Source organism: Homo sapiens, chromosome 1, assembly GCF_000001405.40.
Source record: "Homo sapiens chromosome 1, GRCh38.p14 Primary Assembly".
In the NCBI taxonomy this organism is placed as follows: domain Eukaryota; kingdom Metazoa; phylum Chordata; class Mammalia; order Primates; family Hominidae; genus Homo; species Homo sapiens.
The window spans coordinates 145,821,883-145,844,666 of NC_000001.11; the positions used below are offsets into that span (position 1 = coordinate 145,821,883).

The 22,784-nt window shown below is 43.6% G+C and overlaps 2 protein-coding genes across 10 annotated transcripts in view, besides 2 other annotated features; one reads left to right on the forward strand and one right to left on the reverse strand.

Annotated features, from left to right (window-relative positions):
- Positions 1–2,213, reverse strand: part of RNF115 (ring finger protein 115) — an 85,228-nt gene extending 83,015 nt beyond the window's left edge. For all 3 annotated transcript variants that reach the window (XM_047418027.1, NM_014455.4, XM_047418028.1), the window contains exon 1: positions 1,890–2,213. Coding sequence is in view for 2 of the 3 variants with exons in the window: in NM_014455.4 (NP_055270.1) it covers positions 1,890–1,991 (102 nt within the window). In the remaining variant the exon portion in view is untranslated. The remainder of the gene's footprint in view (positions 1–1,889) is intronic.
- Positions 2,179–2,578: an enhancer, noted in NCBI's record as "active region_1610". NCBI's record gives its function as "activates an Ori minimal core promoter by ATAC-STARR-seq in GM12878 lymphoblastoid cells {active_cell/tissue: GM12878}" and the evidence as "EXISTENCE:reporter gene assay evidence [ECO:0000049][PMID:35858748]".
- POLR3C (RNA polymerase III subunit C) lies at positions 2,318–22,520 on the forward strand. Of its 7 annotated transcripts, none has more exons than NM_006468.8 (15): positions 2,318–2,487; positions 3,875–4,041; positions 4,572–4,827; positions 4,938–5,123; positions 6,867–6,955; positions 11,378–11,482; positions 11,608–11,700; positions 14,612–14,692; positions 14,933–14,984; positions 15,654–15,714; positions 16,174–16,324; positions 18,008–18,109; positions 18,234–18,283; positions 19,040–19,189; positions 20,457–22,520. In NM_006468.8, exons 2-15 carry the CDS (start codon positions 3,895–3,897, stop codon positions 20,536–20,538), a joined length of 1,605 nt encoding a protein of 534 aa, NP_006459.3. In that variant the 5' UTR covers positions 2,318–2,487; positions 3,875–3,894; the 3' UTR covers positions 20,539–22,520. The 7 variants fall into 7 exon arrangements, 6 of the variants coding, with proteins under 6 accessions (NP_006459.3, NP_001290385.1, XP_047289910.1 ...); NM_001303456.1 differs by lacking the exon at positions 2,318–2,487 and adding an exon at positions 2,563–2,665; XM_047433903.1 differs by lacking the exon at positions 2,318–2,487 and having other exon boundaries at positions 3,988–4,041; positions 4,572–4,610; positions 4,724–4,827.
- Positions 6,718–6,777: an enhancer, noted in NCBI's record as "active region_1611". NCBI's record gives its function as "activates an Ori minimal core promoter by ATAC-STARR-seq in GM12878 lymphoblastoid cells {active_cell/tissue: GM12878}" and the evidence as "EXISTENCE:reporter gene assay evidence [ECO:0000049][PMID:35858748]".

Below are 22,784 nucleotides of genomic sequence, written 5' to 3' on the forward strand. Positions count from 1 at the left end.
CTGGCTGAATTCCAGACTCCCTCTCTATGGTAGAAGAGTTCTGCAGGCTCTGATGTTGGCTGGAAAAAAACTAGACACCTGCTCTTCCCAGCACTGAAATATGGCCAAAAAAAAAAACATAAACACACAGCAAAATCAGCAAACAAAGCTAAGTAGCATTTAGGCGGGGAGCAGTGGCTCACGCCTGTAATCCCAGCACTCTGGGAGCCCGAGTCGGGTGGATCACTTGAGGTCAAGAGTTCGAGACCAGCCTGGCCAACATGGTGAAACTGCATCTCTACTAAAAACACAAAAATTAGCCAGGGTGCGGTGGTCGTGCACCTATAGTCCCAGCTACCCGGAGGCCGAGGCAGGAGACTCTCTTGAACCCGGCAGGTGGAGGTTGCAGTCAGCCGAAATCATGCTCCTGGGTGATAGACAGAGGCTGTCTCAAAAAAAAAAAAAGAAAAAAGAAAAACAGCTAAGTAGCATTTAGATGAAACTATGACTCTGAAGTAGGGGGTGCGGCAAGTAGAGAGGAAAGAATGTATCATAATGCCTTAAACAAAACTTTTGAGTGAGAGAAGACTATAAAACACCCTTTAAGCACTTATTCACTGGACTCCATTTGTGTTTCTAAGAAATAAGATATACAGACTCACTTCAGAAGGTTTTCTCCTACACTGTATCTGAGACACCATAAATAGAAACATACATTATGTTGCCACTCTATCACAAGACTGAACCTGGACACTTGTAAGGAAAGGAACAACCATAAAGACAGTTGGCCAAGGACAGGATTGACATTCACTCTGGGGGAGCTCCTCGTAGTAGCTACAACCCAACCCAAAACAGTTTCTGGGTTTGTGATGCTGGTGCTGGCTAGTATGCTGCATAAATGTTGTTTGTTTTTGTAGAGAGGGGTCTCACTCTGTTGCCCAGGCTGGTCTCAAACTCCTGGCCTCAAGCAATCCTCCTGCCTCGTCCTCCCAAAGCACTGGGATTACAGACCTAAGCCACCGCGCCTGACCTACAAAAGTGTTTTCTTCCCAACCACAGCACTGCCTCTCAAGGGGCTAACACTCTGGCAGAAACTCGTGAAAACCAATTTCACGTCAGAGGAAGCATCCCCAACATTCTGTCCCGGCTCTTTTTCTTAGGTGAAGAAAGGGACAGGGCGGGGGGCGGAACAATGATATTAAAGACACTGGCAGCATGACAACCAAAATAAACGAAGTTGAAACAGTACGTCCTGCCTTCTTCCTAAAGCCATTTCCTTCAACAGTGATAGGAGTGCAGACCGTCTGCAAGTCATTAGTACGCTGCTGTCTTCACTGTCACAAGGACCCTGGAAACCACTGAAGAGCAAAATCCCCCTTTTCGCCCCACAGATACCTTCCAACCCCCTTTCTGTGCTTCCTTCCCTAGAAAAAACCGAAGAGTGACAATCCTCAGCAATCCGCTATTTCGCTTCACTGACAAGGGAGGTGGCGGGGGCGGTGGGGGGTGAAAAGTGGAAAAGAACACAGAGGAAGGTGAGAAGACACAGTGGAAGAAGTGTGGGGGGAGGTCATCGTAGGAAAAAGACCAGGTATAAAAGAATGCAAGAAAATTGAGGGGAGAGTTATCAGAGGGAAACTTGCTAAGAAAAAAAAAAATTAAGGACACGGGAGGTAAAGAGGTGAGGTCAGGTGGAGCAGCCCAGGATGAATTAAGAGGTGGGCAGGAGGTACGGGGCCGAGGCCGTGATGCCCAGGGTTTAGGGCCGGCGGCTTAGAAGTGGGCAGCAGGTATTCGGCAGACCGATGTCGGGCGAGTCAATGATGTGCAGAAAGCTCCAGACCCAGTTCCGGGAAATCGGGGCCAGGAATCTATGAGGTTCCCAAGTATAGAGAACACAGCGCTCTTACCGGTAGTTTGGGGCTGACCTCGCCCTTGCAAAAGTGGCAGAAAAACCGGTGGGCGGCTACAGCGGCGCCCGAGTCCGCCCCGGCCGCCGAAGCCTCCGCCATTTTTGCCCTCCGCCGCGGCCGTCCGAGAGGGCAGCCGGCCCGTCCCTCGCCAGGCCGCTACCTCCCGAGCTGCAGTCGTCGCCGCCGCCGCCGCCTCGGTGCGGCCCACCGCTTCAGAGCCCGCGTCGGTCACGTGAGTTGGCCAGGCCCAGAAACGCGGCGGCGCCAACAGCTACCCTGCGGCCCGCCTCCCAGCACCAAAGAGGCGCAGGAAGGAGAGACAAACGGCCCGCCCGCCGGCTCCACAAACAGCCCCTCGCTGGTCCTCCAGTCTTCCAGCGAGAAGAAAGAAAGAGCGTCCCCGGAAGCCGCCGAAACTCTGGGGTAGAGTGGCACGCGCTTTTTGCTTTTCCGCGTCTTCTTCGGTGGCGATCCGCGTCCTAGAAAGGGCGGTGGGCTCCACCTCGGCCTAGAAGGCCAGCGGGAGCCGTAGGAAGCCGTCGCGGGAAGCTCAGCCGAATTGGAGTTGGAGCCCCCGGATTGCGCTGACCCTGAGGTTAGTGGAAAATGCTGTCTGAACGTGGCGGCACTGACTGGACCAAGAGACCACGTCCGAAACGGGAACCTGTGTAAAGGAAGTGTAGAGCTAGGAGCCAAGCGCCTTGGAAGCCCTTTCCGAGGATGGCAAAGGATCTGGGAATGCTTCTCCAAAGATATGTGGATGGACGAAATAGGTCTCTGGTGATACTGAGGCGGGGTGGGGACGGGGAGGCAAAGACTTGGCTTCTTAGGAATTGGAAGAAATAAGTAAACAATGTTTGGTAGCAATTTGTAATAAGGAAGTAATCATAAAATTAACTACGTCCGTTTCTGATTGTGTCAACTTTGTCAAGGAGTAGAAGTTTAAGAATTGAATACTGTCCTGCAAACAACGTAACCTCATCTCCTGTTTGACACACCCTGTTGAGAAGCAGTCCTTTACCTCCTAAATTTCTTTTTCGAAATTATCATTTCCTTTATGGACTGAGAATAACACTGCCTGTTCACTCCCACCGAGCTGTGAACAGTGACCTTAATTCTTCCAAGCAGTGAAGTGTAGAAACTAAGGTCTGTGACAGACCGCAAAATCATCTCCCAATCTTTAAGGAAAATCAGAATCACGCATAATCCCATAGAGATAAATTTGATGCATAGTCTTTTCCTATGCATACATTTTTCCTTTTTTTTTACAATAATTGAATTTTTATATTTTTTCAGCTTGCTTCTGTCACTTAATATATTATGAGTAATTTTTTTTGTTTTTTTTTGTTTTGGAGACAGAATCTCGCACTGTCGCCCGGGTTGGAGTGCAGTGGCGCGATCTCGGCTCACTGCAACCTCTGCCTCCCGGCTTCAAGCGATTCTCCTGTCTCAGCCTCCCTAGTAGCTGGGATTACAGGCACCCGCCACCACGCCCAGCTAATTTTTTTGTGTGTTTTTAGTAGAGAAGGGGTTTCACTATATTGGCCAGGCTGGTCTCAAACTCCTGACCTCATGATACGCCCACCTCGGTCTCCCAAAGTGCTAGGATTACAGGCCTGAGCCACCGCGCCAGCCTATTATGAATAATTTTCTACATGAATACGCATCGTACTAAATAACTTTAAATGTTGGTGTAGTATGCCATTGTATGGGTATGGCATCATTTATTGTTAGACGTTAGATTGTTTCCACTAAGTCGGTATTATAAAGAGAACTAATGACTTCATTATTATTAGCTTTTTCTTTCTTTGGACACAATATCCAAAAAGAAATTGTTGTTTCAAAGATATGCAAGATTTTTAAGGCTTTTTGATATGTATTGTCAAATTGCCCTCCAGAAAGAATACATGAATTTACACTCAGCAGCTCTGCTTCCAGCGTGAAAGACTTTCTATTGTACCATTTTGGTGTTTTTTCCCTAGCTCTCAGACTCCCCAGTACAATGACTCAAGCAGAAATTAAGCTCTGTTCTTTGTTGCTGCAAGAGCATTTTGGAGAGATTGTAGAAAAAATTGGAGTCCATCTGATAAGAACCGGCAGCCAGCCACTAAGAGTAATTGCCCATGACACAGGAACATCACTGGATCAGGTATGTCTAAATGACATTCATTTTCTCTCATTTCTTTCACTAATTTATTTCACCCACCTTTGAATATTGTTCTTCTCACCCCAGAAAAGGAAAAATGAAGAAAGCCTGCCCTTGGAGCAGAACAATGTTATTTCGGGGAGAAAAGGATGAGACTTAGACATCAACATTTTGTTTCTCAAAGTGTTCCTAGTTCATCACAGCTTTTAGGCAAATCTTTGCTCTTCCCATGCCGTACCTCATTTATTCACAATAAGTCTATTAATCTCAGTACTGCCTTTAAGGAATGAGAATGATGAAAGTAAATTGTGTTTTGAGAGATAAGGATCAGAGGAAATATAGCAAGGAATCTTCCTGATTTATTGTATTGATGTGTGATTCTTATTAGCTCCTCCAGTGGAGAGAGGAAATAAGTGCAGAAATTATCTAGCCATTTTCTGATGCTTACTAAGCTGTTGGACAAAAAATTGCCAGCAGTAATGAGCTATATCTTCAGGTCTTTCCTCTCTTTCTTCTCTTTATGTTCCATTTAGGTGAAGAAAGCCCTGTGTGTCCTCGTCCAACATAACCTGGTGAGTTATCAAGTGCACAAACGTGGTGTGGTGGAGTATGAAGCCCAGTGCAGCCGGGTATTGCGAATGCTTAGATATCCCCGGTACATCTATACTACCAAAACTCTGTACAGTGACACTGGAGAGCTGATTGTTGAGGAGCTTCTGTTGAACGGCAAACTGACAATGTCAGCTGTTGTGAAGAAAGTGGCAGACCGGCTCACAGAGACCATGGAGGGTCAGTATGGTATCCATAGCTGTTAACAAAAGCATAGATCAGCTGGCTATGGGAGTGAACCCTGAGCTATCTTAGGCCATCTCATCTGCCTTTTTCCTCCTGTTATACAGATGGCAAGACCATGGACTATGCTGAAGTATCAAACACATTTGTGCGACTGGCAGACACACACTTTGTACAACGCTGCCCTTCGGTACCTACCACTGAGAATTCAGACCCTGGGCCACCACCACCTGCCCCCACACTTGTCATTAATGAAAAGGACATGTACCTGGTTCCTAAACTCAGCTTGATAGGTAAGGAATTTTAACCCCTGGAACTGTGACTTGCCTTAATTGTGGATTCTTCTTGATTGTCAAGTGTATGAAATGTGATTGTATTTACCAAGTATTTGCTATGTGCCAGACATCGTGGTGTATAACAATGAAAAAATCATGGTCTCTGCCATGGGGCTTTAGTATAGGAGACATACATTAATCGGAAAATCACATCGATATATCATTAAACGGTGATAAGTACTATGAAGGAAATATTCCTATGAAGGAACTGTCATAGTATTATGAGACATGCATTAATCAGAAAATCACATCAGTATATAATTAAACTGTAATAAGTGCCATGAAGGAAAAGTATGAGGTGTTATGAAAATATATAATGGAGACTTTGGGAGACTGAGGCAGGCGAATTGCATGAGGCCAGGAGTTCGAGACCAGCCTGGGCAACATGTTGAAACCCCATCTCTACTAAAATTATAAAAATTAGCCAGGTAGCCGGGCATGGTGGTTCACGCCTGTAATCCCAGCACTTTGGGAGGCCAAGGTGGGCGGATCACGAGGTCAGGAGATCGAGACCATCCTGGCTAATACCGGGAAACCCCGTCTATACTAAAAATACAAAAAATTAGCTGGGTGTGGTGGCGGGCATCTGTAGTCCCAGCTACTTGGGAGGCTGAGGCAGGAAAATAGCATGAACCCGGGAAGCGGAGGTTGCAGTGAGCCGAGATCGTGCCACTGCACTCCAGCCTGGGCAACAGAGCCAGACTCCGTCTCAAAAAAAAAAAAAAAAAAAAATAGCCAGGTATGGTGGCATACGCCTGTAATCCCAGCTACTCGGGAGGCTGGGGCAGGAGAATTGCTTGAACCCAGGAGACAGCGATTGCAGTGAGCCAAGATTGCACCACTGTACTCCAGCCTGGGTGACAGAGTGAGACTCTGTCTCGGGAAAAAAAAAAGAAAAGAAAATATATAACGAGAGACGGGATTCATCTGGGAGTTTAGGCCTCATGTTTCTTTGAGAAGGTGGCATTTGAGCTAAGATTTGAAGTAGAAGCTAACAGTGAGGTAACAGGAAAAGCATTTTTGGCAGAGGGAATAGTATGTAGTAAAAAAATAGCATTTGAGGAAATGAAAGAATGTCAGTATAGCTAAAGCATTGTAAGCAAAGCAAGAGAGGCATGAGGTAAGGTTAGAGACATAGCTAGGCAGGGGTCTGATCTCAGAAGCTAATCAGGATCAACCTGCTTAGTACTTGGATGGGAGACAGGCAGGGGCTGAATCAAGTAAGACCTTATAGAGCATCTGTTCTTTATGCTAAGAGCAAAGGAAGACCACTGAAGGATTTTTAAGGAAATGACATGATCTAATTTGCACTTTCAAAAGATTTTTTGTCTACAGAAAGGATGGGAGAATGGGGCAAAGGTAAATGTTGACAGACTGGTGGAAAATGAAAGAGAGAGGGTGAAGGAAACAAGTACTAAGAGTGACATCTGTGTGTCTGACTTGCACATGTGGGAGGATGATATCACTGGCCATGAAAGAGAGCATTGGAGGAGAAAGACTATAAGACTCTTTTTGAACATGTTGAGTTTCAGATTATTTCATCAGTTACTTGAGTTTCTTATAGCTCTTCAGCCCCCTAAGCAACTCTGATCTAGAGGCAGCTACAGATGTCTTTGGAATGAAAGACACCTGCTCTCATGTTTGGTCATTTCCTGTCATCATATGAGATATAGTCTAAGTGTTTAATTGTTTGTTTGGCAGGGAAAGGTAAAAGGAGGAGATCATCTGATGAAGATGCTGCTGGGGAGCCCAAGGCCAAGAGACCAAAATATACTACAGATAACAAGGAGGTAATGGGGCTTCTTGATTAGAAGTCCTCACCCTGAAGCAGGCCAGAAAGAGCACTCAGATAACAAGCCCCAAGAGAGCTTAAAGCTTCCTGAGCTAAGAAGCAGTAGGATTATGAACCTCATTAAATATTAGGAATAGACTAACAAAGAATGAACCATTACTGTCTCCCTTCTGAGCCTTAACTTAATTCTTTCATTGAACAGAGGTAACAGCTTATGTAAAAAGGGGCCTAGAAAAAGTTTAGGTTGCTCAATATGGCGAGAACCTAAAGACCTACAGGGGCCAGTGATGAAAAATGGGTCTAAAAACTATACATAGGCCTGAACTCATATTCAAATGCCTTCTTAGCGTACCTATAAAGATGTCAGTAAGCATCTCAAATTTAGTGTGGCCAAAACAGAATAATTGATTCCTCCTCCCAAATATCTTGCTCCCTCATAAACTTCCTCATCTTAGTAAAAGACACTACCACGTAGGCCAGCCGCCTAGGACACCACCATTTCTGCTTAAGCCAAAATCCTTGGAACCCTCTAATCTCACAGTAAAACATATCAGCCCAGTTTCCAAAATTACCTCAAATCCAACCATTTCTCATCTTTTCACTGCCATCTCTCAACTCTTTGCAAACGCTTTCGTTAATGGTCTCCCTAGCTGCATTCTTACCTACTTAGTAGCCAAAATGACTTTCTAAGTTGTTCAAAACAAAACAACACATCCACTGATTAGACTCCTTTAATAGCTTTCCTTTACTTTTAGAAGAAATCCAAGGTACGGGCTAGGAAGCCTTACGTGATCTAGGTCTTCGTATGATCTGCTGGAGACAGGGCTCTTCAACCTCACCTCTGCCCCGTCTCCATCTTACTCACTGTGTTCCCTCTACTGACTTTATCTCTTAAACATGTCAAACTCTTTCTGGTCTTTAGACTTTGGCTCCGGCTTCAAATGTTTGTCCCCAGATCTTCATGTAGTGGTCTCTGTTTTTATCATTTCTATCTTAAATGCTGTTTTCATAGACTTCAAGCACCATTGCCCACTCCTACACTAGTTCCTACCACATTTCTCATTTCATATACTTCACAGCATTTATATTTATAACTGGAATTATTTATTATTTGTGTACATGTTTGTCTAAGAGGTTTGGGCTTTATCCTGAAGGCAAAGGAGAGCCATTGATGGATTTTAAGCAGGGAAATGAAGTGACTGGATTTATATTTTAGAAAGATTATTATAGCACAGCAGTTCCTAACTTGTTCTACTCCATGGATGGATTTCAGAGAGTCCAGTTATACTTACGTGCATTTTTCAGTGAAGCTCTCCGTACCTTTCATTACATTCTTCAAAGGAACTGTGACCCAAAACAGTTTAAAAAAAAAAAAAGCACTACTCTAAGAAATGGGAAGAATGATGCAAAACAAAATTAGAAGGAGAAAACCCAGTTACTCCTTTTATAGTGTCTGCTATGTTTTAAAGGGAAAAAAAAAAACCCAGTTAGGAGGCTATTGTAGTAATCCAGATGGGCCAAGATTTAGAGTCTGAAATAAGGTAATGATAGGAGAAAGAAAAGTAGACATCTGATAAATATAAAGAATAGATAGAACTTGGTAATGGGGTGGTAGATTATGGAGAGCAAGGGACTAGGGGTGATACCCAAGTTTGTAGCTTAAGAAATCGGGTTGGCTGGCCAAGCACAGTGGCTCACACCTGTAATCCCAGCACTTTGGGAGGCCGAGGTAGGTGGATCACCTGAGGTCAGAGTTCGAGATGAGCCTGGTCAACATGGTGAAACCCCGTCTCTACTAAAAATACAAAAATTAACCGGCCATGGTGGTAGGTGCCTGTAATTACAGCTACTTGGGAGGCTGCGGCAGGATAATGGCCTGAACCTGGGAGGCAGGGGTTGCAGTGAGCTGAGATCACGCCACTGCACTCCATCCTTGGTGACAGAGCAAGACTCCATCTCAAAAAAAAAAAAGAAATTGGGTTGTCTAGGCACAGTGGCTCGTGCCTGTAATCCCAGCATTTTGGGAGGCTGACGTAGAAGAATCACTTGAGCCCAGGAGTTTGAGACCAGCCTGGACAACATAGTGAGACCCCATCTGTACCAAAAAAAAAAACACCAGACCTGGTGGCACATGTTTGTAGTCCCAGCTACTCAGGGGCTGAGGTGGGAGGATCACTTGAGCCCAGGAAGTCAAGGCTTCAGTGAGCCATGATGGTGCCACTGCACTACAGCCTGGGCAACAGAGCAAGACCCTGTCTCAAAAAAAAAAAAAAATTGGGTTGGTTATAGTGTAGTTACCTGAAAACTTACAAAACAGAACAGTTTGGGGAACAAATGGAAGTGTCAAATAGGCAGCTGAGTCTATGCATCTGGAGCATAATAGAGAGTTCCAGGATAGGCCGGGTGCGGTAATGCCTGTAATCCTAGCACTTTGGGAGGCAGAGGCAGGTGGATCACCTGAGGTCAGGAGTTCGAGACCAGCCTGGCCAAGATGGCGAAACCCCGTCTCTACTAAAAATACAAAAATTAGCCATGCATGGTGGCGCAGGCCTGTAATCCCAGCTACTTGGGAAGCTGAGGCAGGAGAATCGCTTGAACCTGGGGGGCAGAGGTTGCAGTGAGCGGAGATTGTGCCACTTCACTCCAGCCTGGGCGAAAGAGCAAAACTCCATCTCAAAAAAAAAAAAAAAAAGAGAGAGTTCTAGGATAGAGTAACAGATTTGGAAATGCATCAATAGTTGAAGCCTGGAGAGCAGATAAAATTACCCAAGTAGAGCATGTAGAGTAAAAAGAAAGGAAAGGTATGGACAGAACCCTGACAAAACACCAGGATTACAGTTGGGATCTGAAAGAGGAATCTGTGGATACTGAGGAAAGGTAGCCAGAAAGGTTCAAAGTAACGCCAAGAAAAAATGGTGTCGGCCAGGCCCAGTGGCTCACACTTGTAATCCTAACACTTTGGAAGGCCAAGGCGGGCAGATCGCTTGAGCCTAGGAATTTGAGACCATCCTGAGCAACATGGTGAGACCGTCTCTACAGAAAAATACAAAAATTACCCAAGCGTGGTGGCACGCACCTGTGGTCCCAGCTGCTTGGGAGGCTGAGATGAGAGGATCACCTGAGCCCAGGGAGGTCAAGGCTGCAGTGAGCTACAATCACACCACTGCACTCCAGCCTGGGTGACAAAGACCCTGTCTTTAAAAGGAAAAAAAAAATGGTGTCATAAAACCAAGGAGCCACATAAAGTTTTAAGAAGGAAAAAATGTCCAACCATGTCATATGCTTCCAAAAGGTTAAATAAGATCAGAAGTGGAAATTATTATTTGAACTTAACAACATAGAATCCTTAAGGACAGTTGTGGAATTTCACTGGAATGCGAGTGACAATTGACATTTCAGTACAATAGTGGAAATGGGTTGCGTAAATCTAGGTAGAGATACAACTGAGATGGCCAACTGTTTGAGAAGCTTGGCTGTGACACTAAGGAAAAGAAGAGAAGGCATAGGGTTGAAAGAGAATTCTAGAGTAGAAAGAGACTTGGACAGGGTAAAGGCTGATAAGAAGGCGGTAGAGAAGGAAAGCCTGAAGATGTTAGAGGACAGGGTAAAATAGAGCTGGATCCCCAAGAATGAATGAGAGAGTAAGATTTGGAATACCAATATGGGCATTAACCTTAGGTAAAAGGAGCATTTTTCAGCTGTGATAAAAGTGAGTGAAAATATGAATCAAGAACAAAAAAGAAATGTGGTGAGGATGTGCACAGAGCTGAGTGAGTTCTGGCCTAGTGTCTTCTATTTTCTCTGTGAAATGAGAGGCAAAGTCATCTGCCGAGAGTGAGAAGGAAGAAGGGTCAAGTTGGAGACTTGAAAGTAATGGAGAAGAGTTAAAATAGAGAGAGAAAGGCCGGATGTGGTGGCTCACACCTATAATCCCAGCACTTGGAGTCCGAGGCAGGCAGATCACCTGAGGTCAGGAGTTCGAGACCAGCCTGGCCAACATTGTAAAACCCCAACTCTACTAAAAATACAAAAATTAGCCTAGCGCAGTGGTGGTTGCCTGTAATCCCAACTACTCAGTAGGCTGAGACAGGAGAATCACTTGAACCCGAGAGGCAGAGGTTGCAGTGAGCCGAGATCATGCCACTGCACTCCAGCCTGGGTGACGAGCAAAACTCCGTCTCAGAAAAAAATTAAAATAAATGTTAAATAATAAAATAGGGAGAGAAAGATTGGAGATGAGCTTAGAAAACCTGTTTGAAGTCGGAATTTGTCTAGACACCAGTCTACATGACTGAATGATTTTTTTCCAACCAATGTAATTGTTACTGTGTAGGAAAAGAAATGGTGAACCATTAAATCCAAGCTCCTCACCAGAAAACTTTACACTATAGCTAAATGTTTCTCTAAATCTTTTCCTCAGCCCATTCCAGATGATGGGATTTATTGGCAGGCCAACCTTGACAGATTCCACCAACACTTCCGTGACCAAGCCATTGTGAGCGCAGTTGCTAACAGGATGGACCAGGTAATACCTAAGTGGGTCTGTCATTGGTCATCAGGGACATTTACTTATTTGTCAGATATGGCCATTGGCACATAGAGCCAGGGGCAGCACTGTGATTTCTGAATTCTAGTTTACTTTTCAAACAGACAAGCAGCGAGATTGTGCGAACCATGCTCCGAATGAGTGAGATTACCACTTCCTCTAGTGCTCCCTTCACCCAGCCATTGTCTTCCAATGAGGTGAGTTTCATGTTCTTGCACTAACTTTCTGACAGATTCTTGGGTGTTATCAACGTTTATTATACACAGATCCTGAGTTTGGGTTGAGGTCTGAGCCTTGAAAGAGAAGGGCATTTGATGTGGAGCAGGGATTATCTTCAAGTGATGAGCACTGAAATGTTTGGTCTCTTAGGATCCAGCTTTTAAAAATCTACACTATTCACTTAGTCAAAGTATCTATTCGTCAAGTACAGCCTATTCCTAATTATTTTAAGAATCCACAATTTGGACTCTGAGAGCCTTGGCATTCAGGACATTATTTGACCCCCTGTACTTAAAATATCGATATTTAATATATCCAATATGTGTTATTTATATTACTTTCATAGTAATACAGTCATGCATCACTTAACAGCAGGGATACATTCTGAGAAATGTGTCGTTAGGTGATTTCATCATTGTGTGAACATCATAGGGTGTACTTAACACAAACCTAGATGGTGTAGCCCTACAGCACACCTAGACTGAACGGGATAGCCTATGGCTTCTAGGCTGTAAACCTGTACAGCATGTTACTGTACTGAATACTGTAGGCAGTTGTAACGCAGTAGCATCTGTGTATCTAAACATCTAATCACAGAAAAGGTACAGTAAAAATATGGTATGAAAAATTAAAAACCACACCTGTTTAGTGCACTTAACATGAATGGAGCTTTCAGGACTAAAAGTTGCCCTGTGGGAGTTAGTGAATGAATGGCAGATTAATGTGAATGTGATGGTCTACACGCTCAGGCTACACTGTATTTATTAAAAACCAGTAACAGGCTGAGCGGGGTGGCTCACGCCTGTAATCCTAGCACTTTGGGAGGCCCAGGCTGGTGGGTTGCCTGAGCTCAGGCGTTTGAGACCAGCCTGGGCAACATGGTGAAACCCATCTACTAAAATACAAAAAAAAAAAAAAAAATTAGCCGGGCATGGTGGCATGCGCCTGTGGTCCCAGCTACTCGGGAGGCTGAGGCAGGAGAATTGCTTGAACCCAGGAGGCAGAGGTTGCAGTGAGCCAAGATCATACCACTGCACTCCAGCCTCACCACACATGTGAGTAATGTGTTTCACAACGGCATTGTGCTATGATGTTACAACAGCTATGACATCACAAAGCAGTAGGAATTTTTCAGCTCCAGTATAATATGGGACCACAGCTGCACACGGTCCGTTGTTGACTAAAATGTTATATGGTGCATGACTGTGTTTAAATATTCCTATATTTTTATATTGTTTATTTTAAAGTTCTATGGCCAGGTGCAGTGACTCACACTTGTAATCCTAGAACTTTGGGAGGTTGAGGCAGAAGGATCCCTTGAGGCCAGGAGTTGAAGACCAACCTGGGCAACATGACAAGACCCCCGTCTCTACAAAAAATTTTTTTAAAAAATTAGTTGGGTGTGGTGCCATATGCCTGTAGTCACAGCTATTCGAGAGGCTGAGGCAGGAGGATTGCTTGAGCCCAAGAGTTGAGGTTGCAGTCAACTATGATCATGCCACTGCACTCCAGCTTAAACAACAGAGCAAAACCCTATTTCAAAAAAAAAAAAAAAAAAAAAAGGCCGGACGCAGCAGCTCACACCCGTAATCCCAGTACTTTGGGTGGCCGAGGCAGGCAGATCACCTGAGGAGTTCAAGACCAGCATAGTCCAACATGGTGAAACCTCATCTCTACTAAAATTACAGAAATTAGCCAGGCATGGTGATGGGCGCCTGTAATCCCAGCTACTTGGGAGGCTGAGGCAGGAGAATCGCTTGAACCCGGGAATGGGAGGTTGCAGTGAGCTGAGATCGCACCACTGCACTCTAGCCTGGGAAACAGAGTGAGACTCTGTCTCAAAAAAAAAAAAAAAGTTTGGTATATATCTTTATTCAGACCTTGCATACTCTAACATATATGTGGGTATATGTATTTTTTAACCCCAAAATGGGACTATTCATATGGCTTTTTGGTTGGGTTTTGTTTGTTTGTTTTTGTTTTTTTGTGACAGAGTCTTGTACTCTTTCACCCAGGCTGGAGTGCAGTAGCGCAATCTCAGCTCACTGCAACCTCCGCCTCCTGGGTTCAAGGCATTCTCCTGCTCATCCTTCCGAGTAGCTGAGATCACAGGCACATGCCACCACGCCAGGCTAATTTTTGTATTTTTAGTAGAGACAGGGTTTCACTGTGTTGGCCAGGCTGGTCTCGAACTCCTGACATCAAGTGATCCTCCCACCTCAGCCTCTCAAAGTGCTGGCATTACAAAGTCGTGATCCACCACACCCAACCTAGTCATACTGTTCTATAACTTGATTTTTTATATGACAGTGTATGTAAAACTTCCTTTCATGTTAGTTTCTGTAGATTTGTCTCACTCTTCATAATGACTGTATCATATTCCACTTAATGGCCGTGCTATATTTTATTTTAGTGTACTCGGTACTGGTCATTTGGGTGTTTCTAGTTTTTTACTCTTACAAACAATCCTGCTGTGAATATTTTTGGACAGTTTTGTGGTAACTAAAATTAAAACTTTTTTTTTTTTTTTTTTGAGACGGAGTTTCGCCCTTGTAGCCCAGGCTGGAGTCCATTGGCGCAATCTCGGCTCACTGCAACCTCTGCCTCCCAGGTTCAAGCAGTTCTCCTGCCTCAGCCTCCCAAATAGCTGGGATTACAGGCATGCGCCACCACGTCCAGCTAATTCTGTATTTTTACTAGAGACGGGGTTTCACCATATTGGTCAGGCTGGTCTCCAACTCTTGACCCAAAGTGATCCACCTGCCTCAGCCTCCCAAAGTGTTCGGATTACAGGCCTTAGCCACTGTGCCCGGCCTAAAACATCTTTATTTCAGTAAGGTCAGGAGTTCTAAGTTCCCAAACCCATTTTAAGTGTCCTTTGCTCCATAGATCTTCAGATCCCTACCTGTTGGCTATAACATCTCTAAGCAAGTTCTTGATCAGTATCTCACTCTGCTGGCAGATGATCCAGTAAGTCTGTTTTTGCTTTTTTTCTTTTTTCTTTAGCCTGTACTGTTGATAATTTATTTCTGCACTGATACCTAGTGTCATCCTCCTGCAGAGTTATTCTCTACCTAGCCAGCCCAGACAATTTCTCCACATCATTTGATAGGAGGGCTACCTGCTGCAGACTTTTGGTCAGATTTGTTCCATTGGAAACAGAATCACTGGACTTTCCGTTCAGTTAACACTCTCTCTTTTTCTTAATAGCTAGAGTTTGTTGGAAAGTCTGGCGACAGTGGTGGAGGAATGTATGTCATCAGTATCCTTACCAGTTATTTCCTTAGAGTCAGGCAGCCTGACCTATAAATCAGAATGGTGCCTTAGGAAAGAAAGATTTGGTAATGTTTATTATACTAAATAAATTAGAAAATTGAAGTAATTGTTAAATAAATTTTTCTATGAATTTTCAGTGAACTGCATTGATGATGAAGTAAAAAGAGGCCAGGCATGGTGGACTTTGGGAGGCTGAGGCAGGTGAATTGCATGAACCCAGGAGTTCAAGATCAGCTAAGCAACATGGCAAAACCCCATCTCTACCAAAAATACAAAAACTAGCCAGCTGTAACGATGCATGCTTGTAGTCCAGCTCCTCAGGAGGCTGAGGTGGGAGGATCGCTAGAGCCCAGGAGACAGACGTTGCAGTAAGCTGAGATCATGCCACTGTACTCCAACCTGGGTGACCCTGTCTCAAAAAAGAAAAGGAAAAAGGACTTTTAATCAACCAAATTTTAGTTAAGCAAAACCCTTACTTAAACACTTGTATTAAAGTTTTGGAATATTTATGTACCATGACTGAAACCATAAATTATAACATGAAAAACAAAATAGCATTTAAAATTTAATTATAAATTAGAAACTTAGGAATAAAACTCAGATCACAATAACTAGGCCAAAACATTACTGAGTGACCTTAATTCTCTACATAAAGACCTCCATAAGGCATTAGCATCCCTAGCCACAGCCACTCTGGAGTCCGTCGTACAGGAGAGGTAAGGGGGACACTGGTTGGGTTTGGGATCACATACTTCCTATCCCCAGTGAAGTAATTTGATCATTATGTAAGCCACCAATATAACCACACCTTGGCATACTTTTCCCCATTTTTTCACTGGACTCCTATGGATCTCATGTAATACTGCTCTTTACCTTAAAATAACCTACTGTTTAATTCCTACCGATGCAAATTAACCAGCCTCCCTAAAGCCTTTGCTTACAAATGTAGGAACTGTGGCACTCAAATGAGTCAGCAGTTGGTGACTGCCTTATGATTAACAGCAGTTGGTGATGCCTTACCATCACCAACCTATGGAGCTGTAGAATAATTTTCTGATCACTGTTCCTGTCTGGTACTGGCTTCACACATGGAATAGAACAACCACCCCATCTATGACTGGGAACTAAAGCTGATCTATGTTAGCATGCCATTTGCTTTCTTCATTCCTTTCCAGATTTGGGTCTCGCTGTGCTAGAATATTCCGTCTAGTTTTGCAGAAGAAACACATAGAGCAGAAGCAAGTGGAAGACTTTGCAATGATTCCTGCAAAGGAGGCAAAGGATATGCTATATAAGATGCTCTCAGAAAATTTCATGTCACTCCAGGTAACCAACCAAGGGCGTAATAATTGCCAACCAGCAAAGCTGGCCTAGGGTGAGAGAAGCTTCTTAGGCAAACATACTGAACCCCCAAGCAAACTCTATATCCAGCTCTGAGACAGAAAAACATGATTCACAGAGACATAGCGAGCACTTGGAGGATAATTTGGGGCCTTAACTGCCCTAGTGAGAAAGAGGTGGCCGGGCACGGTGGTTCGCGCCTGTAGTCCCAGCACTTTGGGAGGCCAAGGTGGGCAAATCACTTGAGGTCAGGAGTTCGAGACCAGCCTGGCCAACATGGTGAAACTCCGTCTCTAATAAAATACAAAACAATTAGCTGGGCCTGGTGGCACACGCCTATAGTCCCAGCTGCTCGGGAGGCTGAGGCAGGAAGGAGACTCTCTTGAACCCAGGAGGGGGAGGTTGCAGTGAGCCGAGATCAAGCCACTGCACTCTAGCCTGAGCAACAGAGTGAGACTCTGTCTCAAAAAACAAAAAAAACAAAAAACAAAAAAGAGGCAGAGCCAGGACATCACCCCAAACCCACCCTGCCTTTTTTTCTCTTCTCATTTCTGTCCTTCCTTAAGCCTTAATTCTGTTATAGTTTAAATTTATCAACACATCTAACTGAGTCTTTGCAGGGCTATTTAGTAGAGCATATGAGTAAATAGATAGAATGGATTTTTGGAGTCAGATTACAGCTCTGCCTTACCCAGTTACATTAAGCAAGTTACCACGTTTCCCATCTATAAAACAGTGATGGATGGTGATAATAAAAATAATATGGTTGCCAGGTGCGGTGGCTCATGCCTGTAATCCCAGCACTTTGGGAGGCCTAGGCGGACGGATCACTTGAGGTCAGGAATTCGAGAATAGCCTGGCCAACCTGGTGAAACCCTGTCTCTACTAAAAATACAAAAATTAGCTGGGCGTGGTGCCGTGTGTCTGTAATCCCAGCTACTCAGGAGGCTGAGGAAGGAGAATTGCTTGAACCTGGGAGGCAGAGGTTGCAGTGAGCCAACATTGTGCCACTGCACTCCAGCCTGGGCAACAGAGCAAGACTCTGTCTCAAAAATAATAATAATACGACTTTTTGTAAAGATCAAATAGAATTTACCTGGCACATAGAGTTGTTCAGTAAATGTTAGTTGCCCTCCCTTTCTTCCCCAGCTCAGGATGCTGACAGTCAAATGGAAAAAACAGGGAAGCCCAGCTCTCCATTTGACTGATTATGACATAAACCACAAAGACTGGGCCGGGCACACCTGTATTCTCAGCACTTTGGGAAACCAAGGCGGGATGATCACTTGAGCCCAGGAATTCAAGACCAGCCTGGAAAATATAGTGAGACCATGTCTCCACCACCCCCAAAAGATTAAAAAATTAGCGGAGCATGGTGGTGCATGCCTGTAGTTCCGGCTACTTGGGGGACTGAGGTGGGAGGATTGCTTGAGCCGGAGGTGGAAGTTGCAGTGAGCTGATATCATGCCACCGCACTCCATCCTAGGTAACAGAGCAAGACCCAGTCTCAAAATAAATAAATAAAATAAACACAGGTACTGAATGACTAGGAAACAGGAAAGTGTAAGTAAAAAGGAGGGCTAAGTAACTCCAGGTAGAATGAGTGTGTGCTTTGCCAGTTCTAAAACAGTATAATTTCTGCTATTTTTCTTTCTATTGGACAAATAGGAAATTCCCAAAACACCAGACCATGCCCCATCCAGGACCTTCTATTTATATACTGTGAACATCCTGTCAGCTGCCCGAATGTTGTTGCACAGGTGCTACAAGGTAACTCAATCTGGACCTTCTCCCCATTTCCTCCATACGGTCAAGTACCCCTCATGTGCCCACTTCGCCCTGAGCTGCTGAAATAGAACTATGTGCATTCCTTGTCTGTCTTCTCTTTCCTCAGAGCATAGCCAACTTGATAGAAAGGAGGCAATTTGAAACCAAAGAGAATAAGTAAGTAACATTTTCAGTTGAGTTATTTACATCTTTCAAGATCAAGGGCCTCAGGGGAAATTTCCTCTAGAAATAGGAATCAATAGACGCTGGGCCTGGCAGGGTGGCTCATGCCTGTAATCCCAGCACTTCGGGAGGCTGAGGCAGGTGGATCACTTGAGGTCAGGAGTTTGAGACCAACCTGGCCAACATGGTGAAACCCTGTCTTCACTAAAAATACAAAAATTAGCTGGGCATGGTGGCGGGCACCTATAGTCCCAGCTACTCGGGAGGCTAAGGCAGGAGAATCACTTAAACCCAGTGAGTGGAGGTTGCAGTGAACCAAGATCACGCCACTGCACTCCAGCCTGGGCGACAAAGTGAGACTCCATCTCAAAAAAAAAAATTTTTTTTTTGAGAAGTAGGAACCAGTAGAGATAGCAACCAGTCTACTTGCATTGAATCATTGGCTTAGATTAGTGTAAATCATGCATTAGTCTACACTTTTCTAACATGCTCCCAGTGAAATAATTTTTCAGATTAAATTTGTGAGAAACGTACAAAAGCACCAAACTTTTAAGTGCAAATGAGAGGCAATAAGAATTTCAGGAGTGAAGTTATATTTCCAAATAAGTTTGTAGAAAATGTCCTTAGAAGGTGACATTATCTACTTTGATCAGGAAAATGGTAAAGGGTGGTGGGTAGTGCCTCAGACACACGTGGTAAGAGAATCTCCCAGGTTAGGGAAGATGTCTCAGAGTTGTGTTTGTTTGACAGGCGTCTACTAGAAAAATCTCAGAGGGTAGAAGCCATCATTGCATCTATGCAGGCTACTGGTGCAGAGGAAGCACAGTTACAAGAAATAGAGGAGATGATCACAGCTCCTGAACGTCAGCAGCTAGAGACCCTGAAACGTAATGTCAACAAGTAAGCATCATAAACTTCAGACCTGCATTTCAGAATACCATCCAGAAAATCCATTTTGACCTCCTGTAACCCTCCAGCTTAGCATGAGCAAACCTAAACTCACTGTCTCCTCCAGCTCACTTAACAGAATTTAATCCACCTATTTTTGTAAACTAGCAATTCTGAAGATGTTCTGAGCTTCTTCTCCATCACCATATACACTCTCTTGTTCATCAAGTACTGATAAATTTTTTTTAAGAGACGGGGTTTTGGCTGTGTTGCCCAGACTGGCCTTGAACTCGTAGGTTCAAACAGTCTTCCTGCCTCAGCCTCCCAAGTAGCTGGGACTACAGGCAAGTGCCACTGCGCTGGCTTAATTTTACTTGAGTCATGTGTCTCAAATCTGGCCTTTCATCTTGGTCCACACGCAGGCCTTCATCACCTCTTTCCTAGACCTTCACATTTCAGTGCACAATTTGTGCACCTCTTTCATTAAATTTATTTCTTAAGTATTTTTTTGGATACTAGTTTAGTGGTCGCTTATTTCAGTTTTAGATTGTTCATTGCTAGTGTTATACAAAAACAACCAACTTTGGTGTTGTGATTTTGTATCCCACAACTTTACTAAATTCATTTATTAATTCTAGTAGTTTTTTTGCAGATTCTTTGAGATTTTTTATAATAGGATTATGTCATCCATGAATAGAGAGAGTTTTACTTCTGTCTTTTCAATCTAGATGCCTTTACTTTTTTTTTTTCCTGCCCCATTACCCTGGCTAGAACCTCCAGTAAAAGGTTGAATAGAAGTACAAAAGCAGACATCTTTGTTTTGTTTCTGATCTTAGGAGAAAAGCTTTTAGTCTTTCACCATTAAGTATGATGTTAGCTGTGGGTTTTTCCTAGATGGCTTTTGTCAGGCTGAAGAAGCTTCCATTTCTTCCTAATCACCACTCACTTTAAGCTTCAGACACTCTTAGTTTCTTGCTATTTTAAAACACACTAGGTCCTTTTATACCTGTGCCTTTACGTTCGTTTTCCTGATTGCAAATGAAGACTACCTTCCCCCAGGACAGAGGCTCTGTATTTTGTATTCTTAGCAGTTTGCATGGTGTCTGGCACATAAAGATGCTCGGTAAATAGCAAAATGATCTACTGGTTCTCCTGCTTTCTTTCCATCCACTCTCAAGGGTAACCAAGCAGTTATCCATGGCCACACCCACCCTAACCTCTAATCTTAAATATGCTAATGAACATTCAGTCTAGGCAAATGCCTTTACTTTTCACTCAGGTTGGATGCCAGTGAGATCCAGGTGGACGAAACCATCTTCCTGCTGGAGTCTTACATTGAGTGCACCATGAAGAGACAGTGATCCAGAAGAAGCATCTTCCTCAGAAGATCTGGGGGGATGGAAAGCAAAATAAAGGAGGTGCCTGGATGCATTATTTGCAGTGGGATAAGTCGCAGAGTCTTCAACTAAACCCCCCTCTCTATCCCCTGCAGCCCAGGATACACCTGAAAGAATTTGGCATATTTAGATCCATTGCTGTAGTCTCCCCTCATCAAATCTTGGCAGTGGGAAGAACCTTAAATCAACAAGGTTAATCATCTATCAGATGCATCTGTTCCCATAAAGAAGTTACCCACACCTATGGTTACCTATATCCCTGGCAATAGGAAACTTCCTAAGAAGTTAATTTTATTTTCAGATGTCTATGCCTGTTCTTTATTTTGTTGAGATAGGTGATAGATAGATAGATAGATAGATAATTTGTTGTTGTTGAGACAGGATCTCACTCTGTCACTCAGGCTGGGGTGTAATAGCGCAATCACAGCTCCCTACAGCCTTGACCTCCTGAGCTCAAGCAGTCCTTCCACCTCAGCCTCTGGAGTAGCTGGGACTACAGGCATGCACCACACATACCCAGCTATTTTTTATTTATTTATTTATTTTTTTGTAGAGACAGGGCCTCCCTGTGTTGCCCAGGCTGATGAACTGTAATTTTTAACACACACAGTGTAGGGAATGTGAAAGACTATCACAGAGTAGAAGAAAAAATTATTTTCAGGGTTAGCAGGTGGATTGTCCCAAGCAGTCACACTAGAATCTGTGGACTGAAGCCACATTTGCCAGCTCCAGGCTTCTAACACATCTGAAACTGTGTATGTAGAACAGCTAGCTCAATGCCTGGCATATGGTAAGCACACAGTAAATTAGCGCCTTCCTCTTCTCCATGGTTCCTTAAAACTGGCAACGCTAAATTCTCTCTCTCAGTATCACGGATATAATTTGTCCCAGCAGCTTTAATTCATTTAAAGCAGTTAGATGTTTTATAATATCTTCAGTTTTCTCTCACCAATGTGTTTTCTAATTGTTTAAACACTTGAGTGTCAAACAATTGCCAGCCACCATACTAAACACAACATACAAGGATAGATAAATAAGACACCATCTCTGCCCTCAAGCCAGTCACCATCATTTACTAAGCACCTGTTTTGTGCTAAGTACTGGGGTAAGCCTTGGGGATATAAAGATTAATAAATTTTGAGCATACAGTCTAGTAGGAGGAGACAAATAAGTACATAAGTACCAGGAAGTATTAGGGGTGCTACAGTAGAAGAGTAAACACTATGTACAGAGAGGCCAGAAAGGGAAAAGGGTCAGGCAGGGAAGGGAACACAGAGAGTGACAATGTATAGTTTGAAAGATGAGGATGCTTTATTTGCAAACTATCTTAACAAGGGATTCGTAACCAGAATATATAAGGAGCTCAAACAATAGCAAAAAGAACAATCCAACTTAAAAATGGCCAAAAGATCTTAATAGGTAGTTTTCGAAAGAAGATACACAAATGGCCGACAGATACATCAAAAAATGTTCAACATCACTAATCAGAGAAATGGAAATCAAAATCAATGAGATAACATCTCACCCCAATTCATTACTTTTATCAAGAAGAAAGAATGAATGCTAGTGAGGATGTGGAAAAAGGAGAGCCCTGCCTGGTACACTGTTGGGAATGTAAATTGGTACAGCCACTGTGGAAGACTACAGAGGTTCCTCAAAAAACTAAAAACAGAACTATGCTCCAGCAGTTCCACTACTGGGTATATATATATCTCCAAAAGGAAAGAAATCAATGTATCAAAAAGATACCTGCACTCCCATGTTTATTGCAGCAGTATTCACGATAGCCAAAACATGGAATCAACCTAAGTGCCCATCAATAGATGAAAGGCTAAAGAAAATGTATTATTCAGCCATAAGAATGAATGAAATCCTGTCATTGGCAGCAACATGGATGGAATTGGAGGTCATTATGTTAAGTAAAATAAACCAAGCACAGAAACAAATATTGCATGTTCTGTCTCACATAGGAGCTAAAAAAGTGGATCTCAAGAAAATAAAGAATAGATTGGTAGTTACCAGAGGCTAGGAAGGATGGGGAGGATGAAGAGAGGTTGATTAGTGGGCACAGATAATACAGTTTGAAGAAGTAAGACTGGTGTTGGATAGATCAGGGTGGCATAGTTATTAATTTACTGTACATTTCAAAACAGCTAGAAGATAATTTTGATGGTGCCTAAATCCTGTAATCCCAACACACTGGGAGGATC

What these genes read in the sequence shown, in the direction of transcription:
- POLR3C (NM_001303456.1), top strand. An exon ending in TGGAGGAATGTATGTCATCA is followed by an intron (nt 14,985 to 15,653) that starts GTATCCTTACCA and finishes CTCTACATAAAG; the next exon opens with ACCTCCATAAGGCATTAGCA. An exon ending in TGTTGCACAGGTGCTACAAG is followed by an intron (nt 18,110 to 18,233) that starts GTAACTCAATCT and finishes CTCTTTCCTCAG; the next exon opens with AGCATAGCCAACTTGATAGA.